General features: G+C 44.5%; 1 protein-coding gene, 2 long non-coding RNA genes and 3 pseudogenes across 36 annotated transcripts in view; 3 read left to right on the forward strand and 3 right to left on the reverse strand.

Moving 5' to 3' along the window:
• KHDC1-AS1 (KHDC1 antisense RNA 1) overlaps positions 1-13,525 on the forward strand; it is a 38,166-nt pseudogene extending 24,641 nt beyond the window's left edge. For 21 of the 31 annotated variants that reach the window (NR_173117.1, NR_173124.1, NR_173125.1 and 18 more), the window contains one exon: positions 2,657-6,827. The product of NR_173117.1 is annotated as a KHDC1 antisense RNA 1, transcript variant 10 (long non-coding RNA). Of the gene's footprint in view, positions 1-2,656 lie in introns of all 31 variants that reach the window. The other 10 variants (NR_173132.1, NR_173135.1, NR_173136.1 and 7 more) reach the window with 4 other exon arrangements.
• LOC122539213 (KHDC1-KHDC1L) overlaps positions 1-17,611 on the reverse strand; it is an 86,616-nt gene that overhangs the window by 64,333 nt on the left and 4,672 nt on the right. For both annotated transcript variants that reach the window (NR_173146.1, NR_173145.1), the window contains exon 2: positions 4,122-4,164. This is a non-coding gene — a long non-coding RNA (KHDC1-KHDC1L). The remainder of the gene's footprint in view (positions 1-4,121; positions 4,165-17,611) is intronic.
• KHDC1 (KH domain containing 1) overlaps positions 1-17,611 on the reverse strand; it is a 69,065-nt gene that overhangs the window by 46,563 nt on the left and 4,891 nt on the right. For both annotated transcript variants that reach the window (NM_001395215.3, NM_001251874.4), the window contains one exon: positions 4,122-4,164. The gene's annotated coding sequence lies outside the window, so the exon portion shown is untranslated. The remainder of the gene's footprint in view (positions 1-4,121; positions 4,165-17,611) is intronic.
• Positions 1-17,611, reverse strand: part of C6orf147 (chromosome 6 open reading frame 147) — a 36,245-nt gene that overhangs the window by 13,743 nt on the left and 4,891 nt on the right. The window contains exon 3 of the long non-coding RNA NR_027005.4: positions 4,122-4,164. This is a non-coding gene — a long non-coding RNA (chromosome 6 open reading frame 147). The remainder of the gene's footprint in view (positions 1-4,121; positions 4,165-17,611) is intronic.
• Positions 2,674-3,459, forward strand: RPSAP41 (ribosomal protein SA pseudogene 41; annotated as a pseudogene).
• Positions 4,073-5,539, forward strand: EIF3EP1 (EIF3E pseudogene 1; annotated as a pseudogene).

Consider the following 17,611-nt stretch of genomic DNA (forward strand, 5'->3'; position numbering starts at 1 on the left):
ATGTATACTTGGAATGGAGATTCTTGGCAGCTGGCACAACTCTAATATTGATACTACTCCTCTGGGGTGAAATTAGAGTGGAGAAGGGCTAATGAAGCCCTCTGAAACTGCCCCCACCATCTTCCTGATCAAGACCAAATCAAATCCAGTATTACATCCCAGGGGGAATGGCAGAAGCTAGCGGCACCCTTAAAGACCTAAAGGATAGAGTTAGTCATCATCATATCTCCATTTAGTTCACCACTCTGGTGCCTACAAAAATCAGATGGATCCGAGAAGACGGCAGTGAACTGCTGCAGACTCAACCAAGTGGTGGCACTAATTGCAGTTGCTGTGCCAGGTGTGGTGTTTTTATTAGAAACTGATTAACACAACCTTTGATATGAGATATGCAGCCACTGATCTGGAGAAGTAAGTATTCTCTTCCATCCCTATCAGAAAAGATCAGAAACAGTTTTCTTGGGCCGGGCACGGTGGTTCACGCTTGTAATCCCACCACTTTGGGAGGCCAAGGTGGGTGAATCACTTGAGGTCAGGAGTTCAAGACCAGCCTGGGCAACATGGTTAAACCCCATCTCTACTAAAAATACAAACATTAGCTGAGCATACTGGTGCATGCCTGTAGTCCCAGCTACTCAGGAGGCTGAGGCAGGAGAATCACTTGAACCTGGGAGGCAGAGGTTGCGGTGAGCTGAGATCATGCCACTGCACTCCAGCCTGGGTGACAGAGTAAGACTTCGTCTTAAAAAAAAAGTTTTCTTTGAGCAGGGTGCAGTGGCACACACCTGTTTTCCTAGCTACTCAGGAGCCAGAGGCAGAGGATCACTTGAAGCCAGGAGTTTAAGGCTGTAGAAGGGTATGATGGCATATGTGAATTAGCCACTGCACACCAGCCTGAACAACATAGTATAGTAAGACCCCCATCTCAAAAAAAAAAAAAAAAAAAAAGGTAATTACTGACAGGTGGTAGAGGTAGGGAGTGTTTAGATAATGGAAAAGCCTAGCCTAATAACACAGCCTAGTAGACGGTCTTAAAGTTTTCAGCCCCAATTAAACCTAAATAGATTAAAATATCCAATCATTTCTTGCATATCAGAGACACACTCAGTACAAAAGGACATAATCCTTTTTCAGCCACAGACAGACAAATGGATTAGGCATAAGAATAAAATCTAGGTCAGTCACAGTGGCTCATGCCTGTAATATCAGCGCTTTGGGAGGCGAAGGCAGGCAGATCACTTGAGGCCAGGAGTTCAAGACTAGCCTGGCCAACATGGCGAAACCCCACCTCTGCTAAAAATACAAAAATTAGACAGGCATGGTGGCACATGCCTGTAGTCCCAGCTACTCAGGAGGCTGAGGTGGGAGAATCACTTGAACCCGGGAGGCGGTAGTTGCAGTAAGCGAAGATTGCACCACTGCACTCCGGCCTGGGCGACAGAGTGAGACTCCATCTCAAAAAAAAAAAAAAAAAAAAAAAAAAGAATAAAATCTGGGCCAACTACAGTGGCTCCTGTAATCCCAGCACTTTGGGAGGCCAAGGCGGGTGGATCATTGGAGGCCAGGAGTTCAAGATCAGCCTGTCCAACATGGCAAAACCCTGTCTCTATTAAAAATACAAAAATTAGCCAGGCCATGGTGGCTCATGCCTGTAATCCCAGCTACTCCAGAGGCTGACACATGAGAATCACTTGAACAAGGAGGCAGAGGTTGCAGTGAGCCATGATCACGCCACTGCACTCCAGCCTGGGTGACAGAGTAAGACCCTGTCTCATAACAAACAACAGAAAAAAGAAAAAAAACGGCCAGGCACTGTGACTCACACCTGTAATTCCAGCACTTTGGGAGGCTGAGTGGGGCAGACCACAAGGTCAAGAGGGAAACCATCATGGCCAACATGGTGAAACCCCATCTCTACTAAAATACAAAAAATTAGCCAGGCGGCCGGGCGCGGTGGCTCACGCCTGTAATCCCAGCACTTTGGGAGGCCGAGGCGGGTGGATCATGAGGTCAGGAGATCGAGACCATCCTGGCTAACAAGGTGAAACCCCGTCTCTACTAAAAATACAACAAATTAGCCGGGCGCGGTGGCGGGCGCCTGTAGTCCCAGCTACTGGGGAGGCTGAGGCAGGAGAATGGCGTGAACCCGGGAAGCGGAGCTTGCAGTGAGCCGAGATTGCGCCACTGCAGTCCGCAGTCCGGCCTGGGCAACAGAGCGAGACTCCGTCTCAAAAAAAAAAAAAAAAAAAAATTAGCCAGGCATGGTGGTGCATGCCTGTAGTCCCAGCTACTCGGGAAGCTGAGGCAGGGAAATCGCTTGAACCCGGGAGGCAGAAGTTGGAGTGAGCTGACATCATGCCACTGCACTCCAGCCTGGTGACAGAGCGAGACTTCATCCCAAAAAAAAAAAGAAAAGAAAAAGAAAAAAAGCTAGCTTTCTGTGCTACCCAGAGAGGGGTCCATACAGTGTTGTTCTGGATTCCTGTTGTAACTTAAAGGGAAACTTTCACAATGTCCAGAGCCCTTGATGTCCTCAAATTTCTTGCAGCAGGAAGTCACTTAGGTGACACTAACTTTGATTTCCAAATGGAATGATAGTACATCTAAAAATGAAGGTGATGGCATCTATATCATAATCTTTTTTTTTTCTAACAAGATCCAAAGTCCACAAATATATCATAAATCTGAAGAGGAACTGGGAGAAGCTTCTGCTGGCAGCTCATGCCATTGTTGCCATTGAAAACCCTGCTGATGTGTCATATCCTGCAGGAATACTAGCTAGTGGGCTGTGCTGAAGTTTGCTGCTGCTGCTGGAGCCACATGTATTGCTGGTCACTTCACTTCTGGAACCTTTGCTAACCAGATCCAATCATCTTCTGCCACCCACATCTTCTGGTGGTTACTGATTCTAGGGCTAACTATCAGCCTCTCTCAGGGGCTTCTTATGGTAACCTACCTACCTACCACTGCTGTATGTAACAGATTCTCCTCTGAGCTATGTGGATATTGTCATCCCATGCAACAACAAGGAAGCTCAATCACTGAGTCTAATGTAGTGGATGCTGGCCCAGGAAGCTCTGTGCATGTGTTGCACCATCTCCCATGATCATGCCTGATCTCTACTTCTATAGAGATCCTGAAGAGATTGAAAAGGAAGAGTAGGCTGCAGCTGAAAAAGGAGGAATTTCAAAGTGAATGGACTGCTGTAGTGCAAGTTTACTGCTACTCAATCTGAGGTTGCAGACTGGTTTAAAGACATGCAGGTGCCCTCTGTGCCTATTCAGCAGTTCCCTACTGAAGATTGGAGCACTTAGCCTACCATGAATGACTGGTCTGCAACTTCCACTGCTCAGACCACTGAATGGGTAAGAATAACCACTGAGTGGCCTTAAGCTGTTCTTCCACAAGCTCTTAAACAAGATGGAAATAACGCTGATGGAAATAAACAACAGTTTCCAAGAAAACACGAACAGCTGAAGTGGCAATGTTTAAGTAACATCTGGTAGACTTTAACATGAATGTTATTAAGCAGGAAATTATGATCTTTTAAGTTGGAACATGTAATGTTAATCCTTTTGCACCAAAATATCTCTTTAAGTCTAAATTATCCACTTTTTTTTTTAATTCTTCGTAGAGATAGAGGTTTCGCTTTGTTGCCCAGGCTGTTCTTGACTTCCTAACTTCAAGCAATCCTTCTGCCTCAGCCTCCCAGAGTGCTGGGATTATAGGCATTTGCCACCGTGCCTGGTGTACCCAGTTTCTGTTATCAACAGAATGCAGTGGTGTATGGTTGCTAAAGGGTCCCAAGATCAGGACCTACGTTAAGGTGGATTTTGAATTATTTAAAATTCTGATTTTGTTTTATTTTTAATTAATCTTTGGGGGAAGGATGGGAGGGGGGTGAGGGTTGAAGAAGTAAACATTGTACCTATTGGATACAATGTTTAATATTTGTGTGATGGGCACACTGGAAGCCCAAACCTCACTATTACACAATACATTCATGTAACAAGCCTGCACATGCACCTCCTGAATCTATTTTTAAAAATTTAATTCTCTAGCACAGACTCCCTTTTTTTGGTAAGATGGCGGGGTACGACTTAACTACTCGCATCACGCACCTTTTGGATCGGCATCTAGTCTTTCCGCTCCTTGAGTTTCTCTCTGTAAAGGAGATATATAAAGAAAAGGAATTATTACAAGGTAAATTGGACCTTCTTAGTGATGCCAACATGGTAGACTTTGCTATGGATGCATACAAAAACCTTTATTCTGATGATATTCCTCATGCTTTGAAAGAGAATAGAACCACAGTTGTTGCACAACTGAAACAGCTTCAGGCAGAAACAGAACTAATTGTGAAAATGTTTGAAGATCCAGAAACGACAAGGCAAATGCGGTCAACCAGGGATGGTAGGATGCTCTTTGACTACCTGGCGGACAAGCATGGTTTTAGGCAGGAGTATTTAGATACATTCTACACATATGCAAAATTCCAGTATGAATGTGGGAATTACTCAGGAGCAGCAGAATATCTTTATTTTTTCAGAGTGTTGGTTCCAGCAACAGACAGAAATGCTGTAAGTTCACTCTGGGGAAAGCTGGCCTCTGAAATCTTAAAGCAGAATTGGGATGCAGACATGGAAGACCTTACATGGTTAAAAGAGACCATAGATAATAATTCTGTGAGTTCTCCACTCCAGTCTCTTCAGCAGAGAGCATGGCTCGTTCACTGGTCTCTGTTTTCTTCAATCACCCCAAAGGTTGTGATAATATTGTTGATCTCTTCCTTTACCAGCCACAGCATCTTAATGTGTCCACACATTCTTCACTATTTGACTACAGCAGTCATAGCAAACAAGGATGTTCGAAAACGTTGGCAGGTGCTAAAAGATCTAGGTAAAGTTACTCAACAGGAGTCTTACACATATAAAGACCCAATTACAGAATTTGTTGAATGCTTATAGATTAACTTTGACTTAGATGGGGCTAAGAAAAAGCTGAGAGAATGTGAATCAGTGCTTGTGAACGACTTCTTGGTGGCTTGTCTTAAGGATTTCATTGACAATGCCCATCTCTTCATATTTGAGACTTTCTGTCACATCCACCAGTGTATCAGCATTAACATGTTGGCAGACAAATTGAACATGACTCCAGATGAAACTGAAAGGTGGATTGTAAATGTGATTAGAAATGCAAGACTGGATGCCAAGATTGATTCTAAATTAGGTCATGTGGTTATGGTAACAATGTACTCTCACCCTATCAGCAAGTGATTGAAAAGACCAAAAGCCTTTCTTTTAGAAGCTAGATTTTGGCCATGAATATTGAGAAGAAACTTAATGACAATAGCAGGTCAGAGGCTCCTAACTGGGCAACTCAAGATTCTGGCTTCTACTGAAGAAACATAAGGAAAAGATTTTAAAAAAACTCTAAAAGAAAGATGAAATAATAAAACTATTATATAAAGGGTGACTTACATTTTGGAAACAACATATTGAGTGTAAATTGTGAAGAATTGGAATAAAATTGACTGATTCAAAAAAATTTAATTCACAAAAAAATTTTAATCCTTTTAAGCTAATTATAGATTCACATGTAGTTGTAAGAAGTTACAAAGAGGCTAGGTGCAGTAGCTGACGCCCATGATCCCCGCACTTTGGGAGGCCGAGGCAGGCAGATCTCTTGAGGCCAGGAGTTTGAGACTAGCCTGGCCAACATGGCAAAACCCCATCTCTACAAAAAATTAGCAAAGCATGGTGGCACATGCCTGTAATTACAGCTACTTGGGAGGCTGAGGCATGAGAATCACTTGACCTGGGATTACAAGTGTAATCCCAGCCATAGGCTGGGTGCAGTGGCTCACACCTGTAATCCCAGCACTTTGGGAGGCCAAGGTACGGGTGGATCACCTGAGGTCAAGAGTTCAAGACCAGCCTGGCCAACATGGTGAAACCCCGTCTCTACAAAAACACAAAAATTAGCCGGGCATGATGGTGCGCACCTGTAATCCCAGCTACTCAGGAGGCTGAGGCAGGAGAATCGCATGAACCCAGGAGGCAGATGTTGCAGTGAGCCAAGATCACGCCATTGCACTCCAGCCTGGGCAACAGAGTGAGACTCCACCTCAAAAAAAAAAAAACAAAAAAAAACCACCAGCCATTTGGGAAGCCAAGGCAGGATTGCTTGAGACCAACCAGAAGTTCAAGGTTGCCTGGGCAACAGAGCAAGACTGTCTCGAGACAAAACAAAAAGTCAGCATCTTCTGCCCACTTTTACTTTAACATACATTTATGGATCTATTGTCTCTTTCCCTGTTCTAAAACTTTAAATTTCACAAGAATGAAGATTTTGCTGTCTTGTTTCCTGCTGTGTCCCCAGCATAAACAGCATAAAGAAGTGCCATAAGATAGAAATTTTTGTTTTCTGTTCACCAGTATATCCACAGCACCTAGAACAGCATCTGCTTTAGACTTATTAGATGAAGACTTAAAAAAAAAAGGAACAGCACTTCTGCACATATTTAGCACTTGATACATATTTGTGGAATAATTTCTATCATAACTAGCAGCTACTTCCTAATTTGATATGTAGCATCCCGTATTAACAGGACTTTTGTGAATGGAGAGGACATCTATTTATTCTTTGTTATGTGCCAAATATATTTGTATTAATCATAACTCTTAATATTCCTTTAAAATTAAATAATTGTTTCCACAGCTCTTAAAATAGAATTTAGGAACCTAGCAACATGCCACTCATCCATTAACAGTGATAAATTATTTAATTTTATAAACTTTTCATTAAAGTAACTGATATAGTTTGGATATGTGTACCTGCCCAAATCTCATGTTGAATTGTAATCCCCAGTGTTGGAGGTGGGGCCTCACGGGAGTTGACTGGATCATGGGGGCAGCTTTCTCATGAATGGTTTAGCACCATCCACTTGGTGCTGTTCTCATGATAGTGAGTTCTCATGGTGTCTGGTCATTTAAAAGCATGTGGCATGGCTCACACCTGTAACCCCAACACTTTGGGAAGCCAAGGTGGGCAGATTGCTTGAGTCCAGGAGTTAGAGACCAGCCTGGTCAACATAGCAAAACCCTGTCTCTCTGAAAAATATAAAAAGTCACCAGGTGTGGTGGCACACACCTGTGGTCCCAGCTACTTGGGAGGCTGAGGTGGGAGGATCACTTGAACCGGGAGTTGGATGTTGCCATGAGCCAACATCCCAGACACTGCACTCCAGTCTGGCGACAGAGCAAGACCCTGTCTCAAAACAACCACAATAACAAAAAGCTGTTGACACCTCCCCTGCAACTTCTTGCTCCTGCTCTGGCCATGTGATGTGCCTACTCCTCCTTCATCTTACACCATGATTGTAAGTTTCCTGAGGCCTCCCCAGGAGCCAAGCAGATGCCAGCATCATGCTTCCTGTACATCCTGCAGACTCGAGAGCCAATTAGACCTCTTGTCATTATAAATTACCCAATCTCAGGTATTTTTTTTACAGCAATGCAAGAATGCACTAATAACGAATCTAGGTCGGGCACAGTGGCTCACGCCTGTAATCCCAGCACTTTGGCAGGCCCCAGGCAGGAGGATTACTTGAACTCAGGAGTTTGAGACCAGCCTGGGCAACATAACAAGACCCTCTCCATGTTGGGGTCTCTTTAAAAACACACACAGCTGGGCGCGGTGGCTCACGCCTGTAATCCTAGCACTTTGGGAGGCCAAGGCGGGCGGATTACCTGAGGTCAGGAGTTCGACACCCGCCTGGCTAACATGGTGAAACCCCATCTTTACTAATGATACAAAAATTAGCTGGGCCTGGTGGCACACACCTGTAGTCCCAGCTACTCGGGAGGTTGAGGCAGGAGAATCACTTGAACCTGAGAGGCAGAGGTTACAGTGAGCTGAGATCATGCCACTGCACTCCAGCCTGGGCAACAGAGTGATACTCCATCTCAAAAAGAAAAAAAAGGCGGGGCACGGTGGCTCACGCCTGTTATCCCAGCACTCTGGGAGGCCGAGGTGGGTGGATCACCTGAGGTCAGGAGTTCAAGACCAGCCTGCCCAACATGGTGAAACCCCATCTCTACTAAAAATACAAAAATTAGCCAGCCATGGTGGCAGGCACCTGTAATCCCAGCTACTCGGGAGGCTGAGGCAGGAGAATCGCTTGAGCCTGGGAGGCGGAGGTTGCAGTGAGCCGAGATCGTGCCACTGCACTCCAGCCTGGGTGATAGAGTGAGACTGCATTTCAAAAAACTAAAAAGAAAACACACACACACACGGCCAGGTGCGGTGGCTCATGTCTATAATCCTAGCACTTTGGGAGGCCGAGGTGGGCAAATCATTTGAGGCCAAGAGTTCGAGACCAGCCTGGGCAACATGGCAATACCCTGTCTCCTCTAAAAATATAAAAATTAGCCAGGTGTAATGGCACATATCTAGTCCCAGCTACTCAGGAGGCTGAGGCAGGAGAATCACTTGAACCCAGGAGGCAGAGGTTGCAGTGAGCCAAGATCATGCCACTGCACTGTAGCCTGGGTGACAGAGTGAGACTCCATCAAAAAAAAATTAAACACACACATACACAAATCTAATGTATCAGATATCCTTAAATGCTTCTAACACTGAAAATGAGATGAATATCACAACTAGAATGGTTATCACATTATACATAAGTGGGTTGCAAAAACTGATTTTATTATACACGTATACTTTTTAATTTACATTTGGATTCAAACTTTTTTTATTATACACTCCTGGCATATGTAACATTCAGATAGTTCTCTTTCTAGCACTATGATAATCTCATCAGATCCCAAGAGTTGGGGAGGAGGACTTGATTTCAGACTATCCAGTTTGCAAATCCACATCACATATGCCTTTACGAATTATTTTGAATAGGTAGTATGCATTACACAAACACTATACAGTGAAGTCTTTTTCAACCTCTCTCAGTTAATTATATCTTCTCAAAACTATTCTACGCAAACACAAAGACATATGTACTATATGTTTTTGTTTTTGTTTTGAGACAGAGTCTCACTCTGTCACCTAGGCAGAGTGCGGCAGTGCGATCTCAGCTCACTGCAACCTCTGCCTCCTGAGTTCAAGCAATTCTCCTGCCTCAGCCTCCCAAGTAGCTGAGATTACAGGCACGTGCCACCATGCCTGGCTAAATTTTGTACTTTTAGTAGAGATGAGGTTTTGCCACGTTGGCCAGACTGGTCTCAAACCCCTGACCTCAGGTGATAGGCCCACCTCGGCCTCCCAAAGTGCTAGGATTACAGTCATGAGCCATCATTACCAGCCTACTATATATATATTTTTTAACACTGTATACAATACACACAGTTTGCACCTTTTTTTTCTTCATTTAATAATGTATCTTGAGGATTGTTGCATTTGGCACTTCATCTAAATACAAATTATTTTTTCTCCCACTAAAATATAGATTTCATGATGATGAGCACTTATCTTTTCACTGCTTTTTATTTTTAAATGTGTTTTTCTGTTGTTTCATGAATATTTAGTTTGTATGCTATCTTTTGCCTTTGTCAGTAATGCTGTTGCAATCAATATCCTTGTACACGTCAATTCTTACAAGTAGGAGTATAAATACAGGATGAAATTCCAAACGTAGATTTGCTGTGTCAAGGGGTGTGTACCTTTCCAATTGATAAGGTATTGCCAAATGTCTTCCCATTGAGGTTGAACCAATTTATATACTCACTAGCCTTGTTGCTAACATTATAACACAAGAAGCATTAAAATTGATTTTTGAACAAAATCAATGTATATGCTTTTAAGTGTTCTTTCTTTTTAAAAAATCATTATTGGAAAATGCAAGCAGGAATACATGGCAAGCAGAGCCCATGCAATGGCCAGAATTCCTACAGCAGAAATGACTTCAACATTTGTTTATAAAGATTTTCTCCAAATGATTTGTTGAAATAACTTGAGTCTTCAAGGTTTAATTTTCCAAATGTTGGCTCAAACCTGCACTGAAATTCTGGCCTACGGTGTCCTAGCAAAAATCTCCCTTTGCAAGATGCTGAGGTATATTGGCAAAACCGCAGATCACATGACTCCGGGAGTTTGAGACCAGCCTCGCCAACATGGTGAAATCCTGTCTCTACTAAAAATACTAAAATTAGCCGGGCATGGTGGGGCATGCCCGTATTCCCAGCTACTCAGGAGGCTGAGACAGAAGAATCCTTGAACCTGGGAGGCAGAGGTTGCAGTGAAGGTGACAAAACGAGACTCTGTCTAAAAAAAAAAGTAGAGGTCAAGGCAATCATTCCTAGGGACCAGGTAGAACCCAACTGGAGAGGAAGATGACACAATTCAACATGCTATGGAGGAGGGAGAGTAGGTTTTATCCAGGATCACATGGGACAAATGCAAGGACAGGCTCAAGTTTCCCACATGCAGCATTTCTCAATCCCATTTTCCTTGGCAAGAGTTCTTCCCATTACTAGGCTATTCCAATATAGACTAAGCTGTTGCCCTGGAAGGACTCTATACTTTGCAAATTTTTTTTTTTTTTTTTTTTTTTTTTTTTTGAGACAGAGTCTTGCTCTGTCACCCAGGCTGGAGTGCAGTGTCGCAATCTTGGCTCACAGCAACCTCCGCCTCCCGGGTTCAAGCAATTCTCCTGCCTCAGCCTCCCGAGTAGCTGGGATTACAGGCACCCGCCACCACACTCGGCTAATTTTTGTATTTTTAGTACAGACGGGGTTTCACCATGTCCGTCAGGGTCAGGATCACCTGACCTCAGGTGACCCACCTGCCTCGGCCTTGCAAAGTGCTGGGATTACAGGCTTGAGCCACTACGCCCGGCCTGTAAACTTTTAAGATGTTATTAGAGACAGGATTCCGCTCTGTCACCCAGTCTGGAATGCAGTGGTACAATCATAGCTCACTGCAGCCTCCAACTACTTAGCTCAAGCGATCCTCCCGCCTCAGCCTCTCAAGTAGCTAGGATTATATGGAGGAGCCACAGCCTGGGAAATTTCTAAGTAAACATATACTATTACACTCCTTACGGGGAGGAAGAGGAGGAGTGTGGGATGTCGAAGACAGAGGATGCAACTTGTAGAGAGTAAGTGAATGAAGGGGGAATTCCGGCAAGGAATTGCCGACTTGAGGCTGACTTCATCTTTCAGGGTCCACGAGGCTGGTGTCAGACCTATTGGGAGACCCTCTGCGTTAGTGAGAAAAACGGCAAGAAATGGGAGCACGCGGAAACCTCCAAGACTAGAGCCACCAGATGCCACCGACAGCACGCAGCTGGACCAGCACGGGGGAGGGCCTTCGTGGGTCGAGAGCTCGCTCGGGAGATAGTTGGTGCTTTTCTTTCAGGAGAAGAATCCCTGGCGGAGTCTGACCGTTCTCTGGCGCACAGCCCCGGGGGTGGGCACAGCAGCCGCCCCTGCTGAAGGGACTGACGCCTCCGACGACCAGCAGCCAAGTTAAACGCACTGTTCCGTGAGCAGCTTTGTTGGAGACAGCGCGGTTCACATTCTCTTCCAACGGAGCCGCTGACTGCGGAGCTGGGAGGGGACGTGACAGAACCCAGCCATCCAACGTCCCCCCACCCCTCCCCAGCTGGGACCTCCGGCTGCTTCCGGGCTGCGCTGGGTGGCGTCAAGGAGCCGCCCCTCTGGGCCGCGTCCCTCCCTCACGCCCTGCACACTGGCCCTGTGTGGCCGGCGGGGCGCCTAAAAGGGCGGAAGGATGCAGGGGCGGAGGGGGCTCGGGATTGCACGCCTAGCTCAGACCCCCCAGCCAGGACCCCTCGCGCTGTTGGACACGCCAGCCTCCCGACCCTGCGGCTCCTACGGGAGGTGACAAGGACCCTGCCAACCTGGCCTGAATGGCCCAGTTTGATACAGATCAGGTTTTCAATGAATGAGACCGCGGTGTGGTCTAGGCGGAGGGATGAGAGGAGGGGATTCTGCTGGGATAAGTGGGGGCGGGGTAAGGAGGGGATTCTTTTCCTGGGCTGAGGAGAACGCAGGGACAAAGTACACAGGGGTAGTTGAGTGAGCAGGTGAGGCCCTAGGCTGGTTCCCCACCTTCTCAGGATCGGAGCCACTCACTTCCTGGTACTCTCTGCAGTCTCCTGGCGTTAAATAACATCCCTTTGCTGGAGACTCTGGATTCACATCCATAATCGCAGCCTCCCCTACTCATCCCCTCACGCTTCCCATGAACTAACCTTGAAGGACCCGACCAGAGCCCTGACCTCCGTCCCACACACCTGCTACATGGAAGGTGTTCTCCACATCAGTTCAAGGCAGTGTCACTCTTCAGGATGTTCAGGCTCTAAACCTTGGACTCCTCCTCCAGATTTCTCTCTCCTTCCTTCTCCTTGTCTCTCCCTTGCACTTACGGTTCACTTTTCCTTCGTAGCTTTGTAGCTCATTCCCCCTTCCACTTTCCACACCACCTTCTGGTCTGTTAATTAAATATTACCTGGTTTCCACTGACACCTTCCCTGGGTTCCCAATTGAAAATCACAACATCATCCTCCTCCTCTGCTTTTTTTCTCCAAATTATATCCTCACCCAATTATGTGTTATTCTCATTAATCTTGCTTAATTAATTAGCAGACATTATTAATGCCTGTTTCCCCTATCACCACCACTAGACTATGAACTCCTAAGGACTCCTTCCTTCCACCACTGTTGTACTCGCTTCACCTAGAACTGCTTGGCACATACAATGTGCTCCATAAATATTTGTTGAATGAAAGACTAGACACAACTTAGGATTCACTCCCCCATGTGGCATCCATAAGCCCTGTATGCAGGTAAAATGTCAGTGGGTTGACTAAATACTGGAAGTGGAAAAAACTTCACCTCTTTGGTTTGCAGTTGTCTAGGATATTTAGGCCAATGGAAAATCCAGTTTTCCTTAGAATTAAGCCAGTGCCGCCAGACTTGCCAGTTTACCATGCTTGTCTGACTGGTCCTCAGCATGGGTCATACGTGTCCAATGAATTCAAACAAAATCTTGAGAAGACACGAACCTTGCCCTTCGGCTGGGCGCGGTGGCTCACGCCTGTAATCCCAGCACTTTGGGAGGCCGAGGCAGGCGGATCACGAGGTCAGGAGATCGAGACCATCCTGGCTAACATGGTGAAACCCCGTCTCTACTAAAAATACAAAAAATTAGCCGAGCGTGGTGGCGGGCGCCTGTAGTCCCAGCTACTCAGGAGGCTGAGGCAGGAGAATGGCGTGAACCCGGGAGGCGGAGCTTGCAGTGAGTGAGCCGAGATCGCACCCCTGCACTCCAGCCTGGGCGACAGAGCGAGACTCCGTAAAAAAACAAAAAAAAAACCTTGCCCTTCATTCCCCATTTCTATCATAATCTACACAGAGTTTTGAACAGGCATTTTAAAATCAACAATATATTATTTACAATTTTGTTAGTATACATAACTCTAACTCACTGTTAAAAATCACCTGTCTTTATATCCATTAAATGACACTTGCATATGCTCCAATTTTTCACTAATGATTTCGAGAGCATTCTGGGACACAGGTGTCTGGACCTTTCATAAGTAAACAGAATTCCTAGCGACGGAATTGTGTATGCAGTATGGAAACACCTTATAATATACTGTCCTGGATATTGTAAAGGTGAACCAACATTCTGTTAAATTTAGAGCAAGTTGCAGAAAACTATATGATACTTAATTCTGTGCTATATGTATAATGGTTTCTTAGGGTTTTTTAAATTTTTTTTTTCTTAGAGACAGTGTCTCACTCTCTTGCCCAGTCTGGAGTACAGTGGCACAATCACAGCTCACTGCAGCCTCGACCTCCTAGGCTCAAGTGATACTCCCACCTCACCTCCCAAGTAGCTGGGACTACAGGCATGTGCCACCATGTCCAGCTAACTTTTTTTTTTATATAAGAGAGAGGGACCCCACTACGTTGCCCAGGTTAGTCTTGAACTCCTGGGCTCAAGCAATCCTGCCTCAGCCTCCCAAAGTGCTGGCACTACAGGCATCAGCCACTGCACCCTGTCTGCTGCCATATATAATGTACATTTTAAGAACTCTATATAGATTCATTTATGTATATGTTTAGAAAAAAATTCTGGAATGGGCTGGGTGCAGTGGCTCACACCTGTAATTCCAGCACTTTGGGAGGCCGAGGTGGGCAGATCATGAGGTCAGGAGTTTGAGACCAGCCTGACCAACTGGTGAAACCCCACCTCTACTAAAAAAATACAAAAATTAACTGGACATGGTGGCACACACCTGTAATCCCGGCTACTCAGGAGGCTGGGGCAGGAGGATCACTTGAAGCCAGGAGGTGGAGGTTGTGGTGAGCCGAGATCGTGCCATTGCACTCCAGCCTGAGCAACAGAGCGAGACTCTGTCTCAAAAAAATAGATAAAAGAAAAGAAAAGAAAATCTGGAATGAATCAAAATACAGTCATGCATCATTTAACAGGGATTCATTCTGAAAAATGCACTGTTAGGAGATTTCATAGTTGTGCAAACATTATAGAGTGTACTTACACAAACCTAGATTGTATAGCCTACTATACACCCAAGCTATATGGTAAAAGCTTATTACCCCTAGGCTACAAACCTGTATGGCATATTATACAACTGAATCCTGTAGGCAACTGTAATACAATGGGTAGTACTGTACCTTTTATAGGACTGGCAGTGCAGTAGGTTTGTTTACACAAGCATCATGCCAAACACTTCATGTGTTGTGCTGTCACCATTCTGATGGTTACGACGCCACTGTTATAGGAATTTTTCAGTTCTATTATAGTCTGATGGGACCATTATTGTATTTGAGGCCCATCATTGACTGAAATGTCATTATGTGATATAGATATATGAGATACTATTCAGCCTAAAAAGATGGAAATCTGGCCGGGCGCGGTGGCTCATGCCTGTAATCCCAGCACTTTGGGAGGCCGAGGTGTGCCGATCACATGAGGACAGGAGTTTGAGACCAGCCTAGCCAACATAGTGAAACCCGGTCTCTACTAAAAATACAAAAATTAGCTGGGTGTGATGGCGCACGCCTGTAATCCCAGCTACTCTGGAGGCTGAAGCACAAGAATTGCTTGAACCCAAGAGGCAGAGGTTGCAGTGAGTCGACATTGTGCCACTGCACTCCAGCCTGGGCAACAGAGTGAGACTCTGCCCCAAAAATAAAAATAAAAAGATGGAAATCCTGTCATTTTCGGTGACATGGATAAACTTGGAGGATATTATGTTAAGTGAAATAAACCAGGCACAGAAAGAAAAATATCTCATGCTTTCACCTATGTGTGGAATGTACAGAAGTTGAACTCATAGAGAATAAAATGGTGGTTACAAGAGATTTGGGGGTGGGGGGATTCAGGAGCCATTGGTGAAGAAACAACAGCTGTTCCATGAAGGTTCCCATTGATAAATGCAGAAGGAATGAGAGAGAGAGAGAGAAAATCACCACTGGACCACAGTAATCATTGCCTCAGGCAAAATTGACCCCTGATGCTAAAACTCACGGGTGATGGTTTAGGCAGAAACAAGATATTTGCATAGTCTGAAGTATCTCCTCCACAATATTTAGTAATACAAATGGAAGAACCACAAGTTTTCAGTAAAGAACACAAGCAATTTCCTAGCCAAGTGATCAAAATTAACATCACCTGTCCTGAAATACGATGCACTGAGAAGGGCACATGATCACATCATTTTGTAGCATCCTTCTCAATAATGTATAGCTTCAGTCTAATCCTGAGAAAACATCAGACAAACCCAAACTGAGATGCATTCTAGAAAATAGCTGATATTCTTCAGAAGTTCCAAGGTCATGAAAGACAGGATAGACTAAGAAACTGTGAAAGATGAGACAAGACCAAGGACATAGGACAACTAAACATGATGTGGGATTCTGAATTGTATCCTAGAACAGAAAAACTAAAATCATGAAAAAAATGGTGAAATGCAAATAATTTCTTGGTTTTGAAAATTATTTTGTGGGCTGGGCACGGTGGCTCACACCTGTAATCCTAAAACTTTGGGAGGCCAAGGTGGGTGGATCACCTGAGGTCAAGAGCTCGAAACCAGCCTGGCCAACGTGGGGAAACCCCTTCTCTACTAAAAATACAAAACTTAGCCAGGCGTGGTGGCAGGCATCTGTAATCCCAGCTGCTCGGGAGGCTGATGCATGACAATCGCTTGAACCCAGGAGGCGGAGGTTGCAGTGAGCCAAGATCATGCCACTGCACACCAGCCTAGGTGACAGAGCAAGACTCCATCTCAAAAAAAAAAGAAAAAAAATTGTTCTACGGTTAGGTAAGATGCTAACATAAGTAGAAGCTGTGTAGTGGGTGTATTGAAACACTGTGATTTTTGAAATTCTTTTGAAAGTCTAAAATCTCAAAATTAAAAATGAAAAAAGTAAAGGTACAATGTATAAAATATCCTGCCACACATTAAAATACATACATATACATACATATAAAATATGCATATATTACATAAAATTTATTTGGGTAGAGCTGGAAGACTGAGAGCCATGAATGGGAGAGGCTTTTCATGTTTTATTTTTATAAATATATGTAATAGAGGCGGGGTCTCACTATGTTGCCCAGGCTGGTCTTGAACTCCTGGGCTCCAGAGATCTCTCCCACCTTGGTCTCCCAAAGTACTAGGATGACAGGCGTGAGCCACTGCGCCAGCCACTTTTGTTCACATACCCTTTTATATCTTCTGAATTTGCTACAATGACATATATTACATACTTTAAAACAAAAATTAAGTAAAATCAAAGAAAAGGTTGGCAACATAATGAGTGGATTGCTAGACTTAGCCTAATAATTGGCTCAGGTTTCACAGAACTGGACTGTGAAACAAGGTCCAGTTTCCTTTCTGAATCTATCAGTCACCAACATAGCTGGTCTGGGATGCGTTTTCTTTGGAGGTCTTTGAAAACTACTAAAACCCAAAGTATCAAGATATATCCTGGTAATATTTTTGCAATTCTGGGAACATATATAACAAATTGCATCCCATTCCAGTATTAAAATAAGTATAGAAGCCAGATGCAGTGCTTCACACTTGTAATCCAAGCACTTTGGGAGGCTGAGGTGGGCAGATCACCTGAGGTCAGGGGTTCAAGACCAGCCTGGCCAATATGGTGAAACTTCATCTATACTAAAAATACAAAAATTAGCTGGGCATGGTGGCAGACTCCTGTAATCTCAGCTTCTCGGGAGGCTGAGGCACGAAAATTGCTTGAACCTGGGAAGCAGAGGTTGCAGTGAGCCAAGATTGCGCTACTGCACTCCAGCCTGCCTAAGTGACAGAGCAAGACTCCATCTCAAAAATATATATATAATATAAAAAATATAGAGAGAGATAATAAAGAAACAAATTTGAAGTCATGGAATTCGCCTTTCTTAAACTGGTTTCAATGAAACTGTTATCTATTTTGTATTCACTACAATCATAAGGAGACAACATAGCATAAGAGCCAAGATTCAAACCTCAACTTTTCCATTTACTGGATGAGTGACTTTAGATAAGTTTTTTAGTTTCTCTGTGTCTGAAATTCAAGGCAGTAATCAG

This window comes from Homo sapiens, chromosome 6 (assembly GCF_000001405.40).
Source record: "Homo sapiens chromosome 6, GRCh38.p14 Primary Assembly".
Taxonomy (NCBI): domain Eukaryota; kingdom Metazoa; phylum Chordata; class Mammalia; order Primates; family Hominidae; genus Homo; species Homo sapiens.